This window comes from Homo sapiens, chromosome 1 (assembly GCF_000001405.40).
Source record: "Homo sapiens chromosome 1, GRCh38.p14 Primary Assembly".
In the NCBI taxonomy this organism is placed as follows: Eukaryota; Metazoa; Chordata; class Mammalia; order Primates; family Hominidae; genus Homo; species Homo sapiens.
Window position 1 is genome coordinate 208,802,537 of NC_000001.11, and position 24,568 is coordinate 208,827,104.

At 40.8% G+C, this 24,568-nt stretch overlaps 1 long non-coding RNA gene across 2 annotated transcripts in view, besides 1 other annotated feature; it reads right to left on the reverse strand.

The window, feature by feature from the left end:
- Window positions 218-387: an enhancer, noted in NCBI's record as "experimental_2428 CRE fragment used in MPRA reporter constructs". NCBI's record gives its function as "activates a minimal promoter by MPRAs in K562 erythroleukemia cells, with activity observed for both the introgressed and non-introgressed 1:208976184 variant alleles {active_cell/tissue: K562}" and the evidence as "EXISTENCE:reporter gene assay evidence [ECO:0000049][PMID:34662402]".
- Window positions 16,919-24,568, reverse strand: part of LOC107985255 (uncharacterized) — a 313,794-nt gene continuing 306,144 nt past the window's right edge. The window contains exons 2-3 of one of the 2 annotated variants that reach the window (XR_001738442.2): window positions 19,548-19,634; window positions 16,919-19,146 (exon numbers count right to left, since the gene is read on the reverse strand). This is a non-coding gene — a long non-coding RNA (uncharacterized LOC107985255). Of the gene's footprint in view, window positions 19,150-19,547; window positions 19,635-24,568 lie in introns of both variants that reach the window. The other variant, XR_001738441.2, reaches the window with a different exon arrangement.

Consider the following 24,568-nt stretch of genomic DNA (forward strand, 5'->3'; position numbering starts at 1 on the left):
TTATAAACTCTAGAAAGCTATATCCATACTATAAAACTCTGGTCTCTTGATACCCATCTAGGAATATAGATTTGTGAAATCTTAGAAGATCTTTATTTTGGAGAACTACTTTCAAATGACATCCTCTCTTATTTATCTGTTTTGCTTTTGAAACATAGGCACACTAAACTGTAATTCAATTCAGTAAACACATATTAAATACCTACTATTCAAGTCACTTTCCCTAATTCAGTGCAATCAGACCAGATTTTTGAGGCTAATTCTAACAACAGAATGAATAAAGCCAAATAAACCCTTTGAAGGGTGCCTGACTTTGTTGGCATTGGGCACCAACAAAGCCCAGATGCCATGTTTCTGCGAAGTCCTTCAAATGTTAGGGGAAAAATAATTCAATGCTTCACACTGTACAAAACATAACTTCATCTTGCCCCACACATTTTCCCCAAGAATAAGTGGCTATTTAATATCATAGGGGTTTCTAGTAGCTCAGCTCACCGTGGGCTGAAATTTTCTCTGCACAGTTTAATGCTGTGTGTGTATGTGTCTGTGTGTGTGTGAGTGCGTGTGTATGTCTTTATGTAGCTCAAACTTTTCTAAAAGGAAGTCAAACTGTCCTCTCTCTGCCTTATCCCCTTTACTCTAATCCATCTGTTATTATTCCCCTGGCTTCTCTGAGGACTAAATGTCGCTAACTTAATTTTGTTGAAGTTAATGATATGGCAATAAGAAAAAAGACAGAGGGAGAAAATGGTAGGATGTTGATTGCCATTAGTCTATACATATATAATTGAAGATTTCAAGTGGGGGAAAGTTTGCTGCAGCGTTGTTAGAACTGCTCTTCAGGGTGTGATTGCCAACCAGGTTTCAAAATTGCAGAGTGGGAGAGCAGCCTGACATCAGGGAGGTGGGTAACAGGCTGCTGAGCCTCTTGCCAAGATGTAATAATTACGATGAAAATGCAATAGTCTCACTGCAAGAGGCAGAGGCTATTTAGAGTATCCCCCACCCCCACCTCGCTCTGTCGTTACTGATCAAGGCTCATTGTTCTCTCACTTAATGTAACCACAGCTTTCAGATTTCGAAGTGCTTCTTAACTTATCCTTCTTTGTCATTCTGCTTGAATGTTATCTTTGGAAAATGGAACACAACCCACAGTCATAACATGTGCCCCTTGTGAAGGAGGATGACACTTAAGGCACTTGAACACAGGCTAATAAGTGCTTTCAGGGCTGGGTGTAGGCGGTAGGCTTTATGAAAGTTCTCTAACCCCCTGAGAACTTAGATCAACAAAGACACAGGTCAAAAATCTACCACTAGATGTTATTTTCCTGGAGAAGTGGATGCACTTTTAAAATCTTTGCTGCAAGTTGCTTGTAGCAACTACTCTCAGAAACCACTCTCATCCCAAATGTTACTGTTTTTGGTTTTTTTTTTAAACACATTTATTTTAGGTTTGGGGGTACATGTGAAGGTTTGTTACAGAGGTAAACATGTGTCACGGGGGTTTGTTGTACATATTATTTCATCACCCAGGTGGTGAACCCAGTACCCAGTGGTTATCATTCTGCTCCTCTCCCTCCTCCCACCCACCGCCCTCAAGTAGACCCCAGTGTCGGTAGTTCCCTTCTTTGTGTTCATGAGTTTTCATCATTTCACCCCCACTTGTAAGTAAGAACATGTGGTATTTGGGTTTCTATTCCTGCATTACTTTGCTAACGATAATAGCCTCCAGCTCCACCCATGTTACCTAAAAGACAGGATCTCATTCCTCTTTTTTTTTGGGGGGGGTGGTGGGGATGGAGCCTTGCTCTGTCGCCCAGGCTGGAGTGCAGTGGTGCGATCTCGGCTCACTGCAAGCTCTGTCTCCTGGGTTCAGGCCATTCTCCTGCCTCAGCCTCCCAAGTAGCTGGGACTACAGGTGCCCACCACCACACCTGGCTAATTTTTTGTATTTTTAGTAGAGACAGGGTTTCACCTCATTAGCCAGGATGGTCTCGATCTCCTGACCTTAGGATCCACCCACCTCCGCCTCCCAAAGTGCTGGGATTACAGGCGTGAGCCACCACACCCGGCCAGGATCTCATTCCTTTATATGGCTGCATGGTATTCCATGGTGTATATGTACCTCATTTTCTTTACCCGATTGGTCATTGATGGGCATTTAGGTTGATTCTATGTCTTTGCTATTGTGAATGGTGCTGTGATGAACATTCTTGTGCATGTATCTTTATGGTAGAATGGATTTCTATTCCTCTGGGTATATACCCAGTAATTGGATTGGTGAGTTGAATGGTAGCTCTGCTTTCAGCTCTTTGAGGACTTGACACACTGCTTTCCACAATGGATGAACTAACTTATACTCCCACCAACAGTGTATAAGTGGTCCCTTTTCTCCACAATCTTGCCAGCATCTGTTATTTTTGACTTTTTAATAATAGCCATTCTGACTGGTGTGAGGTTGTAACTCATTGTGGTTTTGATTTGCATTTCTCTAATGATCAGTGATATTGAGCTTTTTTTCATAGGTTTGTTGGCTGTATGTATGTCTTCTTTTGAAAAATGTTTGTTCATGTCCTTTGCCCACTTTTTAGTGGGTTTCTTTGTTTTTCTCTTGTAAATTTGTTTAAGTTCTTTGTAGACTCTGGATATTAGACCTTTGTCAGATGAAGAGATTGCAATAATTTTCCCCATTCTGTAGGTTGTCTGTTTCCTCTGTTGATAGTTTTTTGCGTGTGTGTGGTGCAGAAGCTCTTAAGTTTAATTAGATCCCATTTGTCAATATTTGCTTTTGTTGCAATTGCTTTTGGTGTCTGTGTCATGAATTCTTTGCCAGTTCCTATGTCCAAGATGATATTGCCTAGGTTGTCTTCCACAGTTTTTATAGTTTTGGGTTTTCCATTTAAGTCTTTAATCCATCTTGAGTTGACTTTCATATATGGTGTAAGGAAGGGGTCCAGCTTCAATCTTCTGTATATGGCTAGCCAGTTATCCCCAGCACCATTTATTGAATAGGGGGTCCTTTCTCCATTGCTTTTTTTGGTCACCTTTGTCAAAGATCAGATAGTTGTAGGTGTGTGGCCTCATTTCTGGGTTCTCTGTACTGTTCCATTGGTCTATGTGTCTGTTTTTGTACCAGTACCATGCTGTTTTGGTTACTGTAGCCCTGTAGTATAGTTTGAAGTAAAGTAATGTGATGCTTCCAGCTTTATTCTTTTTGCTTAGGATTGCCTTGGCTATGCAGGCTTTTTTTTGGTTCCATAGGAATTTAAAATCATTTTTCTCTATTTCTGTGAAGAATGTCTTTGGTAGTTTGATAGAAATAGCATTGAATCTGTAAATTGCTTTGGGCAGTATGGCCATTACAATGACATTGATTCTTCCTATTCATGAGCATCAGATGTTTTTCCATTTGTTTGTGTCTTCTCTGATTTCTTTAAGCAGTGTTTTGTAATTCTCATTGTAAGGATTTCAATGGTTAGCTATATTTCTAGGTACTTTATTATTTTTGTAGAAATTGTGAATGGGATTGCCTTCCTGATTCGGATCTTGGCTTGGCTGTTGGTGTATAGGAATGCTAGTGATTTTTGTACATTAATTTTGTATGCTGAAATTTGCTGAAGTTGTTTATCAGCTGAAGGAGCTTTTGAGCCGAGGCTATGGGGTTTTCTAGATATAGAATCATGTCATCTACAAACAGGGATAGTTTGAGTTTCTCTCTTCCTATTTGGATGCCCTTTATTTCTTTTTCTTTTTCTTTTTTTTTTTTTTTTTTGAGATGGAATCTCACTCTGTCTCTCAGGCTCGAGTGCAGTGGCATGATCTCAGCTCACTGCAACCTCCGCCTCCTGGGTTCAAGCGATTCTCCTGCCTCAGCCTCCCAAGTAGCTGGGATTACAGGTGCATGCCACCACATCTGGCTAATTTTTTATATTTTTAGTAAAGACAGGCTTTCACCATGTTGGCCAGGCTAGTCTCGAACTCATGACCTCACGTTATCTGCCCGCCTCGGTCTCCCAAAGTACTGGGATTACAGGCATAAGCCACCACACCCAGTCCCTTTATTTCTTTCTCTTGCCTGATTGCTCTGGTCAGGACTTCCAATACTATGTTGAATAGGAGTGGTGAGAGAGGGCATCCTTGCCTTGTGCTGGTTTTCAAGTGAAATGCTTCCAGATTTTGCTCATTCAGTATGATGTTGGCTGTGGGTTTGTCATACATGGCTGTTATTATTTTTAGGTATGTTCCTTCAATACCTAGTTTACTAGACTTTTAAAAAATAAAACAGTGTTGGATTTTATTGGAAGCCTTTACTCTTACACTTCTAGAGCACTTGGCCATTACAAACAGCTGTCCCACGCAGTGCCTCACTTTTCTATCTCAACATGAAGAAAGGAAACTTCTATGTATCAAATGTCTTCTGCGTGCCAGGCCCCATGCTGGGTACTTGATGATATTAGTTTCAAACATATTTAAGGTATTTTATAAGAATACATCAAATGTAAAATAACACCAATAAAAACTGAGTCAAAATGGAAATGAAAAACAAAGGCAGGAACTTAAAATATAGTCAGGAATAAGGCTAGAATGAATATTCTACAAACTTGAAGTAAGCCACAAATTTGGTTTTCAAGTTCTATAGGAGCCAATGTCACAAAAAAGGGGGAAACAACTTAATAACAATCAATGCAAAAAGGAAAACAAAAGATTACACCATTTACAACATTCATCAGATAAAAGCAAATTAGTGGCTTAGGAAAAACATGTCTCTTCTCTGGACAAAAAATGGGCAGGAGCTCTCCTGGGTTTTCTCATAAACAGAACTCTGTGTTTCATAAAGGGCAATGTCTTTAACACATCCTTGAACAAGAAACAACAAGTAGAATGTTTATTTTTGTTGAAATATGGGCTACTACTACACCGTCAGATATTGGGAGAGCCCAGTGAGGCTCTGAAGGCACAAAATTTAAGGAGACATCCACTGTCAGGGTTGTGCAAGTGCCTACTGAAATTCTGTGCCCTGGGTACCTCCCTTGCCTCCCACTAGCCCTGCCCTGTCATTATATTACTCATAGTCATATTCAGTAGGAGGAATTCTCTAAGGCTGTGGTTTACAATAGGGGATGACTTTTCTTCCAGGGAACATTTGGCAAAGACTGGAGACTTGGTCACTGCTGGGCAGATGCTACTGGCATTGAGTGGGTAGCGGTCAGGGAGACTGTTGAACATCCTACAGTGCACTTGATAGCCACTCACAGCAAAGAATTATACAGTCCAAAATATCACTAAGCCTAAGTTCAGAAACTCTGCTTTTGGCAGAGCCATACTCCTTACCTGAGCTCATGTGGTGACTTGCTGCATAGGATGATTCTGCTTTCTTATCCTCGTGGTAAATGAATCATGAGCTCTGCTGTTGTAACTTCCTAAATATCACCCCATCTTGTGTTTGGACTACTGCCATAGCCACAGTGGTAGACACTTTTAAGAGCCTACAATAGCATCCCTGCAGCAACAGCATCTTTGCTTAGAAAAGTCATATTTCACCTTGGAATAAAAGGAAGAGATCTCCTGATTTAGACGAATCATGTTGATCTATTCTTCTTTGCCAAGGATTGACTTAAGTATGAGCATTTGCCCTCTTTCTGGCCAGTGATATAAAAGGGAAGCCTGCTGGGGGACTTCTAGAAAAGATTTTGACTTCTGATAAAAGGGACAGATAGAGCTAGTGTTGCTCTCCTTTCCCTTTTTTCTACTTGAATGTGGACTCCATGTCTGGAGCTGTGGTAGCCATTTTGAGACCATGAAGTAACAAGGAAAAGGAAGGAAAGGCAAGAAGCAAAGAACATTGGAGCAAAAAGAATACACTCTTGCCACAGAGCTTTTTTGAGCTTGCAATTCCTTTTGTCTGCAATGCTCCCCCTCTACCTCCCCATGGTTAATTCCTAGTCATTCTTGACATCTCAGCTTAACCCTCATCTGTGGGAGAGCCACCTTAACCTCCCTGACTCTGTCTGAACTTGTTAGAGGTTCATAGCATCATGTAAGCTTCCTTCACAGCATTTGCCAAGGTTGCGATTTCTCATGTGTTTGTGGTATGACTTGATTTTTTTTTTTTTGTCTTCCTGACTAGACTCCAAGCTACATGACAACTGAAACTATCACAATATCTCTAGTCCCTGATATTTAGATGCTAGATAAGCAATACTATTTTCTTATTTTTTTCTTTTCCTTTTTTGAATGAAAAAGCTTAAATTGTCTGGAAGTTAGAATGTCTTCAATATTTTAAGCCATCTTCCCGGAAAGTATTTTGCTCGACAGAATGTTTAATAAATAGTGAGTGAGTATGAGTTCAAAATGATTCTTCCTGGAAAATAACTAAAACCCAGATATTCTGTGTGGCCAATTAAATAGAAATTCTTATGACATAAGAGGACATTGAGCTGGGGCATGCAGGAATAACTTCCTTTCTGAAAGCTGAGGGGCCTGCAAGGAGAATACCTAAAAGGAAGCCATTCCACCTGTCATCAGGTGAGCTGAGAGAATGCCACAGGCAGAACCAAGATTCTCAGCAGAAAGTCATTTTGAATGCTTCAATCACCAGGCTAATGGGTGAATGAAGCCCTGAAGACATACAGCATATAACATGGCTAAAAATCCCAGTGCTTAACATGGAGGATTTTGTTTAATCTTCACAAAAAGTAACATAATCATATGAGGTAGGTATGCTTATCTCTATTTTACAGAAGAGCAGGCTCTGCTGATAAGACAAAGAGGCAGCTTTGGAACTGAGGCTTGTCTAACTCCTCCGCTAATATTCTTTCCTTTATACCAGTGGTTCTCAAACTTGACTGACATTGGGATCACTTGGGGAATTTTGGGTTCCATGCTAAAAAATTTGTGTTTAACTTTTTAGGAATTTAAAAAGATCCCTCCAGGTGATTCCACTGTGCAGCCAGGGTTGAGAACCACTGCACTCCAGCCTCGGCAACATAGCAAAATGTCACCTCAGAAAACAAAACAGAAAATACCCAGAGTACTACAATCGTAGTGGGTGGAATAATGGCCCCTAAAAATATATGTGCAAGTCCTAACCCCTAGAACTTGTAAATTTGACCTTATTGGAAAAAGAGTCTTTGTAGATATAATTAAGGATCTTGAGATAAAACCATAGTGAATTTAGGATGAGCCCTTACTCCAGTGACAAGTATCTTTGTAAAAGAAAAGCCAAGGGAGACTTGAGACGAAGAGACATGGAGGAGAAGGCCAGGTGGAGATGGAGGCAGATATTGACATTATGCTGTCATAAACCAAGCAACATCTGGAACCACCAGAAGCTGGACGAGGCAAGCAAGGATGCCCCCTGATGTTTTCAGAGGAAACATGGCCTGCTGACACCTTGATCTCAGACTTCCAGCCTCTAGAACTGAGACAATACATTTCTGTTGTTTTAAGCCACTGCGTTCGTGGCAATTAGCTACAGAAAACCTGAGAGATTAATACAAAGCTCCACCTCCAGAGTTTCTGAGTCAGCAAGTCTTGGATGGGACACAAACATTTGTATGCCTGGCAAGTCCCCAGGTAATGCTGATGCTGCTGGTTCAGGGACCACACTTTGAGAACCACTGCTCCTTATCATGCAGTCTTTATCCAGCTGTTCAGCTTTCGCAGCCTCTGCTTGTAACCTTTCTATTCAGGGATGTGAAAAATAACTAAAGGAAAAAGAAATCTGTAAGTCTTCTAGATTTCAATGATCATTGTTGCTGATTCACTGTGTTATTGATCTTTATGAAATGGAGGTGATGCTCTCAGAAACTAGTGCGGTTCCTGAAAGTGGACCAGGAGTTCAATGTGGAATACTTTTGTTCTCCCTTTACAATATCACAGGAATTACATAAGCAATTGTGTAATGCACAAAACACCAGAAGCCGCTCAGCTTCCTGCCAGCAGACCTATCTATGTGAGTTTCTGCCTGTTTTCTCTGCCTGTCTTTTGGTTGGTTGCAAATAATGAGGTGCCTCTTCGCCTGCTCAGCGTTCTTACCTCCTGCTATGTTGGGCATCCTATTGACTCACCTCCTCAGAGATGTTGCTCCACCAATATCTAGTATCTAGTGTTCTGTGGCTCTTATCCATTTCCATTAACAGATACTCAAGATTTTAATGTCTTAAAATGAGTCTTTCTTTAGCCCCCCATCCTTCAGACACCCCCGTAATATTTCCTTTCCATCTTGCCTGCAAATTTAGTATTGAAATATGCTGCATTTTCTTTCTTCACCCTACTCACTCTTATACCCCAGTAAGCTGCACAGCACCTTTCTAGGCACTCTTTTTTCATGGCTTTGAGATCTGTCTTCCTTTTCCTACTCCTTATATCTGGTTGTTCCTCAGTTGTCTTCTCTGGGCTTTCCTCTACTCGTGCAACTCTCTTCCTGAGTTATTCATCTACTTACAGGGTTTCATCTTTGCTGATGACTCTCTGATCTTTATTTGCAACTTAGATCATTTTCTCTTGAGCTCTAGTCTCTAGTATCCAAAGTGTCTCCACGGACACTTTAAAGTCAATGTATGCATGCCCCAAATCCTCCTCCCCCTTCCTATCTCCCAATCTGTTCCTAGTCCTGTGTATTGCTTTCTCAGGGGTGCTGCTTGTACCTAGTTTCTCCAATAACATAATTTGCAGATGATAACACCAACAAATACTTATGGAGTGCCTCCCACCTGCTAGGCACTGTTCTATATGCAAGAAATAAGTGGTGAACAAAGAAGTTGTGATCCTGGCCCTAGTCTTGGATTCCTCTCTCGCCTTCTCCACCTCTTCCCATACCCAGGTAATCATCGAGGCTGGCCAGCTCTCCCCTTTGACATTATCTGAACCCACCTACACTTTCAATCTCAGTCTAACCAACTGCCATCTCTTGCCTGGATGAATGTAAGTGCCTCCTAAATACTAGATATCGGTGGAGCAATATCTCCGAGGAGGCAAGAGTTAATAGGATGTCTAACATAGTTCTTCCTGCCCTGCCTGTCTCTCTTCTCCAATACGTCCTCCACACTGAAGACACAATGGCCTTTGAAATTGTAACTATGATTACACCACCCTCTTGCTTAAAAGCTGGCGATGTTTTAACATTGCCTTTAGGAAACAGTCCATCATCCTTACGAGGGTTTATCAGGCCCATTGTGATATGGTACCAGCTTGTTATCCAGGAATCTTGCTACAACTCCCCCTGCCCCCACCACATTTTTGTTCTTGTTATAATGAAATGCCTTCAATTCTTAAAACATACCACATTCTCTTCCATTTCAGGAACCTTTCGGGTGTGTTTGTCTCTAATTCTTCCCTTCCTGTATTCATCTTCTCCTCACCACATTCATCACTCACATTTTACCAGTCACCCTGTAGATCTCTGCTCACAAGTCATTTACTCAGGGAAGCCTTTCTTGATTCTTTAAGTCTGAGTCAGTCCCATTTCTTGGTACTACTGTGGTCCCCTGAGTAGCCTCAATGGTGAAAAAGCTCCTTCCCGACTGCTTGGTAATTACCTGTTTACTCATCTCTATTCCCCATTAGCAGGCATTATGTTTACATTTTTTTTTTTTTTTTTGAGATGAAGTCTCACTCTATCGCCAGGCTGGAGTGCAGTGGTGTGATCTCGGCTCACTGCAACCTCTGTCTCCTGGGTTCAAGCGATTCTCCTGCCTCAGCCTCCCGAGTAGCTGGGACTACAAGCGCGTGCCACCACACCTAGCTAATGTTTGTATTTTTAGTAGAGATGGGGTTTCACCATGTTGGCCAGGATGGTCTCGATCTCTTGACCTCATGATCTGCCTGTCTCGACCTCCCAAAGTGCTGGGATCACAGGCATGAGCCACCAAGCCCGGACGATGTCTACTTTTTATTCCCCATACCTAGCACAGTGGGTGGCACATGGTAAATACTCAATAAATACTTGTTGCCTAGATCATCGTTTCACAGCCTCAACACTACTGACATTCTGGGCTGGATAATCCTTGTTGTGGTGGCTGTCCTGTGCACTGTAGGATATTTAACAGCACCCCTGTGTCCTCTACCCACTAGAAAGCAATAGTTCCCCATTTCGCAGTTGTGACAAACTAAAGTGCCCCTAGACACTGCCAAAGGTGTCCTGAGAAGCAAAATAACTCCTGGTAAGAACCTTTGGCCTAGAGGGATGAGCTCACTGTTAGCAGATTATGAGCTTAGACGTGAGGAGGCAGTGGCATAGGCAAAACATGGACAGACTGGACTTACAGACTGGACACAGGCTCTGAGGTGGGATGATACTTCAAGGCCCAAGTTAGGGGCATACTAGGGAGTAAATAGTCACGCAAGTGAAACGTGGCCTAGGGTGTGTGGACACAGCCGCAGCAGGAAGTGAACACAGAGAGACAGAATAGCATTAATTGTACCCAGCTTTCAACTAGACACACTAGGCTCGAGTTTAAGCAGCTCCTATTAGCAACTGTATGACATTCGATGAGTTATTTAACCCTTCTGAATTTTGGTTCTCACATGCATAGACAAGAATATTGCTGTATGGATTAAATAATATATCTATGAAATATTGGCTCAGAGCATTATACATAATAAATACATGACAAATGTTTATTGTTATTACTATTATCATCATTGCTGTTATTATTAATATCAGGACGTCCAGTAAAGTGAAGAGTTCTGGCATGAGGGTCTGGTGTCTGGAAGTAGCTGACATGAGAAACAATTGGTATGCAGATGGGAAATCAGTAAGAGAGAGATGCCGACCTGGGGTCGGGGAAGGATTCACTTGTAGGGAGAGCAGAAGCATGGGGCACCGCTTCTGCCATTGTAAAATCCTGGTACCTTTAGGTAGAGTGCAGACACATTGGAAAAGTCATTAAAAATGGATCTTGATGCAAACTGGGGAATCCCAAGTATTCTATATTTACTTAAAAAAAAGTAGTACTTATTCAACCAAAGGAAAAGAATCCCAACACAAAGCATAACAATGTTTATTAAAATAAATTTTACTAAAACACCAGGGGTTTGGTCTAGGTCCTGCTGCCCACTGCACAGAGAGCCAATCACCAAGACAACAATTACTACCAAGGAAGAAGGCTTCAATCGCATGCTGCAGCCGAGGAGATGGGAGATCAGTCTGAAATCCACCTCCCTGACTGACTAAAATCAGGGGTTTATATAGCAGGGAAGAAATGTAACTATGTATGGGAAAATAGGAACTACATAGGGTTAAGGAAGCAATTATGATGAAGGAGGGGCTTGGCCTCTCATTGTGTAGATGAGATAACCTTGTGGGTTTTAGTTCTTTGATACTTTTTGAGAGGCCTGGGGGTCCATTCCTAAAGATGAAACTCAGTTAAAACAAATGTAAGTTTCAAGCTTTAAGACAAAAAGGGTCAATTTCTATGTTTACCCAAAAAAACTATCTATGGGACTATTGTGTTGGTTTTAGGAAGAGCATCAGAAAAAATAAATAAAAAGGTAAATCCAAATAAATACTGAAAGAGTAAAACAACAATAATAATGTCTTTAGGAGATTAAAATATATATGCATTAAAATGCCTAACAAATATGGCATAAAATTAAGGAGTAATAGGCTCAACTGAAGGTTCTCAGCTTCTAGAATTGTTTGGGATATGGTAAAGGTATTAATTTATATCATACTCTAATAAGTCAAATATGCATGTTTTAAACTTAAGAGTAATCCCTAAATGAAGAGTGAAATAATATATTACTAACAGGCTAATAGAAGGATACAATGTAATAATACATGTAGTTTTTATTAATCCAAGAAATGATTTAAAAAGAGAAGAAACACACATGCACAAACATACATAAACACACACACACAGAGAGAGAAAGAAAATAGATTAAATTTTTTATAAAAACAAATGTTATCAAAATTTATAATATGCAGCCAAAGTCATCTTAAAGGGAAATTTGTTGCTTTAAATGCATGTACTAGAACAGAAAATATTCTAAAAATTAATCTTCAAAAATTACTTGAGTAATTTCTCAGGAAGTTAGATAAAACTTTAGTAAATTGAAAGGAGATAGATGGAAATAATAAACATAAGACTAATAAAACAAACATATAATAAGGAAAATAAACAAAACCAAAAGTTTTTTTGAGAAGACCAATAACATTTGTTTCTAATAAGGATTGATTAAAATTTTTACAAGGTACACATTATTAATAACAAGAATAACAAGAAAGAGAAGGGATATCACTACTGATCCAATAGATGATATTAGGAACAATTACTTGACGTAAATATAGTGTAAATAAGATGAACAGATTTGTGGAAAAATAACAGGAAAGGCAACACAAAAAGACATAAAAAATCTGAAACATTCTGTATTTATATGAGAAATTGCATCTGTAATTAGAACCTCCCTGTTTAAGAAATATCCAGGTCTAGATGTCTTAACAAGTGAATTCTTCCAAACATTAAAAAATAAATTAATTAAACAAATAAAAAATTATTGATTAAGGTAAACATAAAATAATTCATAGAGAAAATTATTCTTCAGCTTAATTTAAAGAAATTGACTTACATGGATTGAAGATGGAAAGTGGGATGTTATTCAAAGAAAAAGAAAACACGTATAAGTGCACATAGCTAGGAAATGGTGGGGGTTGGGAGAAATCACATACAGCAGTCTCCCTTACGTAAAGTTTCATTTTCTGCAGTTCCAGTTGCCCGCAGTTGCACTGTCTGAAAATATTAACTGGAAAATTCCAGAAATAAACAATTTATAAATTTTAAATTGCACACTGTGATGAAATCTCATGCCTTCCTGCTCTGTCCCATGCAAATCATTCCTTGGTTCAGCATATTCATGCTGTATATACTACTTGCCCATTTAGTCACTAAGTAGCCCTCTAGGTCATGAGATCAAGAAACAAACAGCATACATATATAGGGTGCCATAACATCCTCGGTTTCAAGCATCAACTGGGGGTCTTGGAACGTATTTCCTGAGGATAAGGAGGGACGGCTCTATTTGGGGCATGGTGAGAGATGAATCTTACCGAAGGGAAGAAACCAGATTGCAGAACTCCCTGAAATAAATTAGTTAGAAAGGTAGAAGGCTAATGGATAGAAGACTGAAAGCGGTAGAATGAAAACTATTGATCTGAACCAATAAGTAACAGCAAATCTCTGAGATTCATAATATAAGAAGCAGCCAAATGAACGCAGTACGTAAGATAAATATTATTGTAAGCTTTATGTGGGAAAGATTTGTGAGCAAGGTAGAGCAAGGAGAGGCACTCAGAGATGGTTGCAGGCATCAAGGTATGAGGGGGAGAGATCCTGGCCTGGAATGATATCTCCAGGAACTGCAAAGAAGGTTTGAATCTGTGGATTATTTTTGAGGCGTGAGAGACAAAGGAGCAAGCAACCAAGGAGACAGAAAGGCAAAAGGGAAGAAGGAGAGTGAGTAGGAGCCCTGCCTCTGGGAATCAAGGTGGATCTCTGTTAAACCTTGATGTAACAGACCGCTTGTCCCAAGGTCACCTTGAATATTTTTATTTGATCCACACAGTGCTGGTAGAGTGTCTCTCCTTCTGGACAACCCTCCCTGCTTCTCCTTTTCCTCATCCCATGGCTGCAATCCGAGCTAAAACAAAAAAAACATCTGTAGGGCATTCTGCTAAGTCTGCAGTGACCTTGTTATGGCTGATTCGCCTGACTAGGTTTGGGACAGATTTTCCAAAATGAAGCACAGTTTTGTGTATAATAAATGCATGCACAGATATCTTTATTACTCTGTGAATTATTTTTTTCTAATCCAATAAATATTACGCAAAGGTCAGGGTCAGAGTGAGATGGATTCGCCTCACCAGCAGACTGTAAACACTCACACAATGAAACTAGAAAAGGCAAAAGGAGCACTAATGGTGTTCATCCTTAATATCTGCATTTTTTTTGCTAATGCTCACATTTTATAAAACTGAAGTTCAAGGCAACTTTTTCAATTTATGAGCAATAAGGAGCAAATGGAGAAGATCATTCACGAAAATGAGAAAGTTTTCCAATTATCAGTGACATTCGTCTTTAAACCCCCAAAAGCATGGTTTTCCAGAAATGTTGCAGTCAATGTGAAAATGTAACTATTGATTTTACTTTTATGGCAACATTGTAGGACAGAACTTTAGAAACTGAGCATCAAAAAAGGTTTTAGAGATTAGTTTTTTTCAAGCCATTCATTTCTACAAATGATTCCTAGGTGACTTCAGTGACTTGCCTAAGGTTGTGCAGGTTGGGATATTTATAAAAGTAATAGTACAGGTATTTCTGGTGGCCTCTGAGAGAGAGAGAGAGAGAGAGAGAGAGAGAGAGAGAGAGAAATTTCTCATTCAGTCTCTGGAGTTTTTTTTTTTTTTTTTTTTTTTGAGACAGAGTCTCGCTTGGTCGCCCAGGCTGGAGTGCAGTGGCGCCATCTCCACTCACTGCAAGCTCCGCCTCCCAGGTTCACGCCATTCTCCTGCCTCAGCCTCACAGGTATTTGGGTCTACAGGAGCCCGCCACCACGCCCAGCTAATTTTTTGTATTTTTAGTAGAGGCGGGGTTTCACCGCATTAGCCAGGATGGTCTCGATCTCCTGACCTCATGATCCTCCTGCCTTAGCCCCCCAAAGTGCTGGGATTACAGGCATGAGCCACCGTGCCCGGCCTCTGGAGATGTTTTTCATTTGTTACTATCAGCCCACAAACATGTGACTCTACTTTCTAGAATTGCTTTTTAGACCAAAAGAAAACCAAGAAGTTGTTCAAATTATAGTGATTACATCTGAAAGACTCTCTTTCTCCTCTCCAGCCATTTGAGAAAAAGAGAAAAATCTAAATCAAGACACAAACCAGAAAGAAGTGCAGCTGTCTTTTTTTTTTCTGTCTCTCTTTTGAAATTTTGTTAAACCAAATAACACCTCTGGATCTCAGATCCTCCCCTGTAAAAATGAAACTGCAGGATTAAGTTGGAGCTAAGGGCTCATCACCTATCCCAGACTTTGTAATGCCTTTTCTCTCTGGTTTCACCAGGAGGATAGAAATGCACTTTGCATAAAGCAGCCAATTTTCTGCCAACTTAGATGGCCTTTGGTGGCAGAAATAATGGAGCAGGGCAGTGGTCGAGACCCGTGATTTTATAGGCAGGGCTTTCTTTTCGACTTTATGTGGATCATGTGTTTTAACCTGCAGTCCTGCAATTCCTGGTTGTCCTATAAGATTGCCTGAAGTCTCCTTCTCCCCACAGCTAACCAACAGGGTCTCAGGGGCAGACACCCCTACCCCAGGCTGTGAGATAAATCCAGGCTTAGCCTCCAATCTCTCACTCTGAGTTTGGCTGACCTTCTTCACACATTATAAATGGGGACTTGCTTTGTTTCCAAAACCTGAACCCATCTATGTTCAGGTTTCTAAACTGACTCTCCACCCTGTTTCCCTGTGTCAATATCCTGGTCTAGTAACCAGCAGAATATACATCACACTTAGAATATGACCAGTTTGTTCTTACTGTTCTCTTACCGATCATGCGCCTTCATCACCTCCCTCCACACCATCTCCATGGAGTGGAGTTATTCCCCTGAATATCAGTGACTTGGGGCCCAGCTATTGTTAAGACATTTTCCAGATGTCCCTCTGGTTTCTCTGGATCACCCAGCACTTCCTAGAATCTTCTCTGCCATGTTGTGTTTTCCAGTCACATACTGTATTTCAACTTCCATCTTTCTGGAGCCCCTCATTCTGGCTGCTGGCCTGAACAACTTACTACCTGGGCTGCCCATAATACATTCTCCAGGTACCATGCTCCTCCTGCCTCATGGTTTCTCCAACACCAGAGGAGAGTGAAGGATCTCCCTCTTCTGTGTTTTTTCCTTTTTGTTCATACATATTGGGAATTATTTGTGGATAAGACCAGATGTGTTAACTTTTTAGTATCTGGTGTTTAACCTAGTGTCTGCCATTTAGTGCATGCTCAATAAATACAAGTCAAATGAATGAAGTAATGTCCTAGCATTCATTATCTTGCCCAACCCACTGCAGTTAACACTTCTATGCCATTTTCTGTCTTAAGAGCTGCATCTCCTTTCTGCTAGCACTTCTCCTTTATATCACTCACTCAACAATAACCCAGGCATCTCTAGCAACCAAGGACACTCCAATCAAAGATTACATTTTTATCTTATTTTCCAAAACTTACTTATTTATCCGGAAATGATCAACCAGCCCTGTGGAAACCAATAGAGTTTCATTATCTTTCTAAAGAAAAGCAAAAAAAAATGCGTATGCAAGGCAGAATTAAAACTGAATAAACATATACGTCTAAATGAATCATCCTTTTTTGCATTAGACCTGGATAAATGACATTTATGTGGTGCGGGTATAGTGCAGTTATCTGTCACTGGAGACGTCTAAGGATGGCAATCAGTGTGAGTACAAGTTCTCAACAGCACATAGCACAGGAACAGCTGCAGAAATAATAAATACTAAAAACATTGCCTTCTTCACCCCCAAACCCATATTTATCAGACGTGAAGTAGGTTGAAGGAGAAAAAATAATAATTGCCAATCAGGAGGCACTTTACATACATAATTTTATAATGTAAGTCAGAGCATTTTCCTCCTGACTGCCAATGGCTTTTCTCATCATGCAGAGTAAAGGCACAGACCTGAAGGTGGCCTCAAAGGCCATGCGGAGTCTGCAACGGCTTGCCTCCCTCACCTCATCTCTCATTACTTGCTCCCCCTGCTTGCTCCTCTCCAAACACACTGGTCTCTGCTGATTCTCGAATGTTCTGGTACACACCTGGCTCAGGGCCTTCCTACTTGCTTTTCCCTCAGCCAAACATTCTTTGTATTAGTTTGTTAGAGTTGCCACAACAAAGTACCAAAAGCAGATGCGTAAGATCACAGAAATTTATTGCTTCATGATTCTAGAGGCCAGAAGTCTGAAGTCAAGACATCAGCAGGGGCATCCGTCCTCTGTAGGCTCTAGGCAAGGATTCTTCCTCGCCTCTCCTGGCTCCTGGTGTTTGCCAGCAATCCTTGGTGTTCCCTGGCTTGTAGTAACATCACTCCAGGCACACTGCAGGCATTCTTTGTGTCTTCACATCATCTTCCCTCTGTACCTGTTTCTGTGTCTAAATTTCTACTTTTTATAAGGTCACCAGCATATTCCATTAGGGCCCACCCTAATGACCATGTTAAACTCAATGACCTCTGTAAAGACCTTGTTTCCCAAGAAGGTTACACTCAGAATTACTGGTCTTTGGAACTTTCATCTATCTCTTTGAGGAGACACAGTTCAACCCAAGTCACTCTTCTCCCAAATATCCCCACAGCCTACTCTCTCACCTCTTTATTGATCAACTTCTCAGTGAAGCCTTCTATAACTCCCCATCACAGTTCCATCTCTCTCTGCACCATCATTCCCTGCCCCCTTCCCACGTTTTATGTTTCTTCTCTGGCTCTTACCACCATCTCACCTGCTATTTATTCTCCTTAATAATCTTGTCTTTGTTTATCTCCCCTGATAAATTATCAACTCCCCAAAGGCAGTGTTTCTGTCTGCTCGGTTCACTGCCATTTCTCCAGTGCCCAGAACAGTGCCTGATCCATGGTAGGCAATCAACAGATGTGCATTGAATACATAAACTTTAATCCTCAAGTCAGCCTTGAAGTTATCAAAATGGTTGTCATCCACATTTTATAAATAAGGCAAGTGATGCTGGAAAAGATGAAGTATCTTGCTCAAGATAATATTGCTAATGAGTTTTGGAGCTGGGATTTGAACCAGGTCAAATCGACTCTAAAGTTTGTGGTCTATCCATTATGCTGTGCTGCCCAAGGCAGAAGGAGGGACTTCCTGCAGATGTGTGAGGAATTCTGCAGCTGCTTAAATTACTGCTTTTTCTTCCTCTGGATAAAATAGCACTTGAAAAACATCATCAAAATGTAAATCTTCAAGTCTAGGTAAGTGGTCTGGCTCAGCTAGCAATGTCGCTCAGACAACTGCGACATTAGAACACACTGTGTGTGTCTCTACATTTTTTTTTGTTTTAAATCCAATTAGGCAAACTATTCTTTGGCTCAGGTGATGGTTTTATTTCTCTGGGCAGATTAGAAAACCAAGAAGCATATGCAGTCTGAGTTCCCAGACAGCTGGGAGTTAGGTGTGTATTGCTGCTTTTAAATTGTAGGCACAAGGGCTTCCAAACCAGAGTGAAACTTGAATGTCAAATGAACAGATGCTGTGGTTATAACCCCCAAACCCTCACTTAACCAGCAAACACACGTACTACATTTCCACAGGCAAAGAAAGTTAAACAATGATCTCACTAAATCAGCCCCAAACCTGCCAGTGAGGCAAAAGAAGTTGTTTCTATTTGAATTATCCAGATTGCCTGTCAGCATGGATCACATCCACTGGATAATTGCTGATCTTTTCTCTTTGCTCTGCTTGCATGGCCACAGTCTACAAGTCATTGTTCAGTGGAAACCACCTATTACTGACATGTTTCTGTCATGGCAATGATCCTGAAATAAGCCAGGGACATTAACCAGAGCTGATAGTCATGTGTGGCTGTGTCTACCATCATCAAAAGTGGGTCTAATCAATGGTGCGACACAGAAAGAGATGGTCAGGCTAGTCACAAAACAGGTTTGCAATATATAGTTCCATATCTGGATAATATTAATAAAAAGAAAATTGTAAAAAAAAATTAACCAGAAAACAAGGAAAGCGACCCAAGTCCTAGAATTCAATATTATTATCCAATAAAATCAGAAAAAGAACAAAATGGGATAAAAATTTCCAGTCTTTGGCTATACAGGTTGGAAGAACTATGGATCTGAGTGCTATAGATTAGCTGACTATGTTGATCAGATTTTTTGGATATTCTTTATGCAGGTCTGGTTAACTTGTCCGACAGTAAATTGCACATGGTAAACGTCACAACATGGGAAAGAGTTGACTCTCCTGTATTCTAAACTAAACCTCATAGGAAGGAAGTTCCTTGGTCTGTGCTGTACAGACCTTCTAGCCTAGAGAAGTCCCACGTACCTGGGAATGACTGCAGATCTTGTTTCGCACAGCAGATGGAATCCAGGGAAGGGAAGGCAGGCTGCTGCTGGAGAGACATGGAACATTGTGTTAAGCCTGTGCTGACCTGTCATTGGTTCAACTAACAATGGGCCATTGCTTTTCTCCCCGACATATTCCTTTTTAACCCCCCCACCCCCAACCCCCCAGGGAATCAGGCCTTGATATTAGTCATATTTCCCAATTCCGTGTGAAGTTGGTCAGAGGCCGAAAATGACTTTTAGTGTGGCGGGTGTTAAATTTTGGTTTATAGCTCTCACTTTGCACCTCTCTAGCTTGGGTAGGCCTTAGAGATTACTGTATATTTTAGTACAGTTTCATCATTCCCATATATTGCAGTTCCAGGGAATATTGCTTTCTTAAGCCTACAGACTTTTATTATTCTATCCAAAGATGAGGATAAAGTTTCAAAATTTATTGCCCAACCTGCTTCTGTGAAATACATCCACATCCGCAAGCACGCAGCTGAATGCGCCAAATTGCATGGACATGCACGAATCAGTCAATCACCACCTGTGAATATACAAGCAATTGATGTGTTGTGAAGATGCAGATGGTTACGCGTGGATGCATATTACAAGCTCCTTTTAACAGAGAAAACACTTTCAAGACAACGAGTGCTGTGTTACAAACAAAACATTTGGACTAGTGTTTCTACTTAAAAAGGAGTTTCCTACCATTGTCCTTAACGGGTAGAAATGTTTTAAAACTCAGGCTACTCTTAAGATGTGGAAAGCACTGTTAAGACAAAACCAAATAAAATGTTACAGTTCCAAAACTTACAGCAGTTCCTTCTGTTTCTTAGTTATATGGAATGGTTTAGAAAAAAAACATGTTATTCATGAAAATTTTTGTTTAGAAAACACCTGTGTTGGATTTAGAACAGCCATATCTGGTCAACGAACAGACCTTCCAGTGACTCACCTTGTGGTTGCAAATACTATCCTCAAATGTAGAAAATTTCTAAAGAAAAATGTGAATTCTACTGAGAATATTAAACAGAGGACTTATTAGATTAAAAACACCATGAAATACTAGCTACCACAAAATCTAATGTGCCAGAAAACAGGAGATATGGAACTTCAAAACGATTTTAATATTGTTTTAAGTAAATATTTATTGGGTAAGGGCAACTGTTCTGTATCACTCCCCTATTTAGAAAAAACTTGATCCTTTACAAAGTACAAGCAGTGATCCAAGGGGTTGGGACTTACTCCACAGAGCAGGTGACCATGATGGTGGCTCTTGTGGATTTTTCACTTTTATTAACCCCTTGAGAAGTAATGAATCTGGCTACATCTAAATAGAGGTCTGGCCTGTGCCCTTGGTTTATGGGGAGATAACCTTGAAACCCTTGGAATTTCGCAAGCTTTAAAAATATATATAAAATGTAAGTATTTGTTTTTCATGGTGGGCCACTGAGACCACACCTAAGAGTTGATTTAATAAGATGACTCAGGGTGAAGCTGGCCACACCTGATAGTCTTTGAGAGAGGGGGTAGGACGTTGGTGATGCCAGAAAGGCCGACTGTATGATTCGAGGGTGGAGGCTTTTGGTAAGGAAGTATCAGTAGACCTGGAGACTGAGTTCAACCTACGTCATGAGACCTCAATAAACACTATGGATTCAAAGCTTCTGTGAGCTTCACGGGTGAGCAATACTCTGTGCGTATTGTCACATATCAATGCCCAGTGGGGCAGTGCATCCTGAAGATGATGGAGGATTGGTGTTAAGAACCATCTTAGACTCCACCCTATGTGTCTCTTTCTTTGTCTGGTCCTCATTTGTATCCTTTCCCTGTCATAAACATGGCTATGAGTATAATAGCTTTTAGTGAGTCCTTTTAGTGACTCTTTCTAGTGGATTATTTAGCTTGAGGGTAGTTTGGGACAACTCCTGAACTTGCAGGGTCAGAAATCTTGGGCAGACTTGTCAGTCTGGAGGACTGGGCCCTTCACCTCAAAGTATGGCTCATTCCCAGGTACCCCTACTTTTGTGGATGTCTAGAACTGAGCCAGACTAACAAAACCTATTCGTGAAATGTTAATTTGAGGACTGGGGAGGAAGGTCATGTCTCAGACTCATAGCGGAGATGACCCCTGCAAGTGAGGTTCCCATGCCCATATGAACCTGGTAGGAGTAGAGCTAGAAAGAAAAAATATAGCTGGCCTTTCATATCCATGGAAATCAGTTCTAGGACCTCCAGTGGACACCCAAATTTGCAGATGCTCAAGTCCCTTATATAAAATGGTCTAGTAGGCCATGCATGGTGGCTCATGCTTGTAATCTCAGCACTTTGGGAGGCCAACATGGGTGAATCACCTGAGCCCAAGAGTTTGAGACCAGCCTGGGCTACACAGTGAAACCTCGTCTCTGCAAAAAGATACAGAAATTAGTCAGGCGTGGTGGTGTGTGCCTGTGGTCCCAGCTACTCGGGAGGCTTAGGTGGGAGGATTGCCTGAGCCTCAGAGGTCAAGGCTGCAGTAAGCAAAGACTGCACCACTGCACGCCAGCCTGGGTAACAGAGCAAGACCCTGTCTCAAGTAAGTAGGTAAGTAAGTAATAAAATAAAATAAAAGTAAAGAAAAGTGGTATACTACATACTGTTTACTGTTTTTTTCCTACCCAAGGCCCAGGGAGCATGGAAGGACTAGCCAAACCTTGGTTACATGGGAAAAGGACGAGGAAGGAGACTAGCATAGGAAGACAAAGGAAAAGCCAGAAAAGAAATATAAAGAAGAGACAGAAAGATGTTGCAAGTTACTGCATCAAGTGATTCTTGTATTGCCAAATCCACCATGCAGCTAGAGAGATTTCAGCTAGAGAGATTTTAGCTGAGAGATTTCAGCTAGAGAGATTTCATATTTGGACATCCACTTATTACATTACAGATGTTTTAGTTTTAATAATATTTTTACTGAAACATTTCAGAGAATCATATTGATGGAAGTACTATTATACTTCTAAGTGTTGGAGGAAGGAGCAGAAATTACACATTTTTTGGCAGATATGGAAATGGAAGTCTAGGGAAATTAAATCGCCTGTGGTCATATTCTCCCTTGCAGACAAATATTTTAGAGAATAAAGTCTCAGAAGAAATTCCTCATCACTGACAACAACAACAACAACGATTCCAAGAAGAAGCTAGAAAATGGGAAATGAAATGATGTGGAGAAACCAATGAGGAACAACGGTGTTTTTTAAAATTAAAAACTGAAATATACACCTGCTAAAACGGGGAAATTAAACAAACACTGTATGATGGAGGGTAATAAAAGAAAATATTTCACCAAGAAAAAATTTCAGGATTATATCAAAGTGTTCCTTTGAAATTGATAAAAATCCTTTTCTTCATTTCTTCTCTCTCCCTCAGAAGCTTTATCCTTTCATTAGAAGTCAGCCATGTGCGGGAATTATTGATAGCTGCAATATTTCATCTTGTCTTTTTAAATAAGTCACTGCAATGCATGCACATCCTGTGATCTGTGCTGAGGTTTCTAAGAAATGTTCTCCGTTTCTTGGTGCAGCTGTTCCATGGTTGACCCCAGTTGCATTAGTGATATTAGGAGAGGTGGGTTGAGTTGTTAAAGGATTAGCTTGGTTTGCTGGTCACTGATGATGAAGGGAAAAGCTGAGGAAATATTTTTAGCCAAAATTTTAGCCCATGTACTTTGTTATTTGTTTGGATGGCAACCCATGAGTGAAATAGTATTGTAATGACTACTGGACAAATGAAGGCTTGAAAGAGTTACTGAAAGTCATACTCGTATCAAATGGCAGAGTTGAAACTCAAACATGCTGCCACTATCCACTGTTTGCTAGAACTCTCAAGTCCCTGTATCTGCAATTGAGGAAAGAATAGTATTACACAATCTTGCACTGCCCACTGCCAGCCCTAAGCACAGTAGATACTACTGCCTTTCATTTTACTGTAGGACAAAATCTCTTGGTCTATGCCAGGGACATCAGTGTAAAAACTAGATGCATAGGAAAAGTAGGTCACAGAAAGTTAAGCATGTCGTGTCCCTGCCCTCCTTATCATCCTCTGAACCAACCCTCTCCATTCCTCCGCTGAAGCCCCTCTCTGCTCTTCCTTTTTCCGTATCTGGATGGCTCTCCTCCTGCCTGGCTTCATTTCCAAATCTTTCCCCTAAAGCCCAACTGAAATCCCACTTTTCCATGAAATTCTTCCTGAATCATTCAATCTTTATCTTTTCCCGTTTTCTCTGAACCCCTGTCAAGTAAAATGTAGCCATTGTGCAGTGGAAATTGCATCAGGCTGGGAATCAGAAGTCTCTGGTTATAGTCCTTCTGTTCTGAAACCGACAAGTTCAGGCTCCTTAAACAAGTCATGTAACTTCTTCAGGTCTGTTTCTGCTGCTGCAAAATGGGATGGGGAACATCAGAATAAATGTTCTTTAAGGGCCATAATCAAAATGAATAATACGTAATTTTTTCACATAGTTAGGTACACATGGTTAGATACATGGTTAGAACATTTATCAGGACTACTTCATTCGTAAATTTTGTTTCTACAGTAAAATTTATAAGCCATATTATAAATTTCCTTTATAACCCCACAAGGCCTGGTTCATTGATAAATTTGGTTATACTGGCCGGGCACAGTGGCTCACGCCTGTAATCCTAGCACTTTGGGAGGCTGAGGCGGGTGGATCACCTGAGGTCAGGAGTTCGAGACCAGCCTAACCAACATGGAGAAACCCTGTCTCTACTAAAAATACAAAATTAGCCAGGCGTGGTGGCACATGCCTGTAATCCCAGCTACTTGGGAGGCTGAGGCAGGAGAATCGCTTGAATCTGGGAGGTGGAGGTTGCGGTAAGCTGAGATTGCACAATTGCACACCAGCCTGGGCAACAAAAGTGAAACTCAGTATCAAAAAAAAAAAATTGGTTATACTTTGATTGATTGGAAAATCACTTTGTGGGCCAGGCACAGTGGCTCACGCCTGTAATCCCAGCACTTTGGGAGGCCGGGGCGGGCGGATCACGAGGTCAAGAGATCAAAACCGTCCTGGCCAATGTGATGAAACCCCCGTCTCCACTAAAAATACAAAAATTAGCCGGGCATGGTGGCGTGTGTCTGTAGTCCCAGCTGCTCAGTAGGCTGAGGCAGAGGAATCGCTTAAACCTGGGAGGCGGACGTTGCAGTGAGCCGACATTGTGCCACTGCACTCCAGCCTGGGACAGAGCGAGACTCCATCTCAAAAAAAAAGAAAAAGAAAGAAAAATCACTTTGTTGACATATACATTCAGTCTTTTGAGGGGGTCTCTGAATGGAATTAAAGATGATCGTGAACTTGTAAATGAATTTTCTCCTATGTACAGACAGTATATGTATTTATAATGATAATAGCTAACACTGACTGAGCACATGTTCACTACCAGTTTCTGTTCAAAGTGCATTTTAGTATTCATTCATTTATTT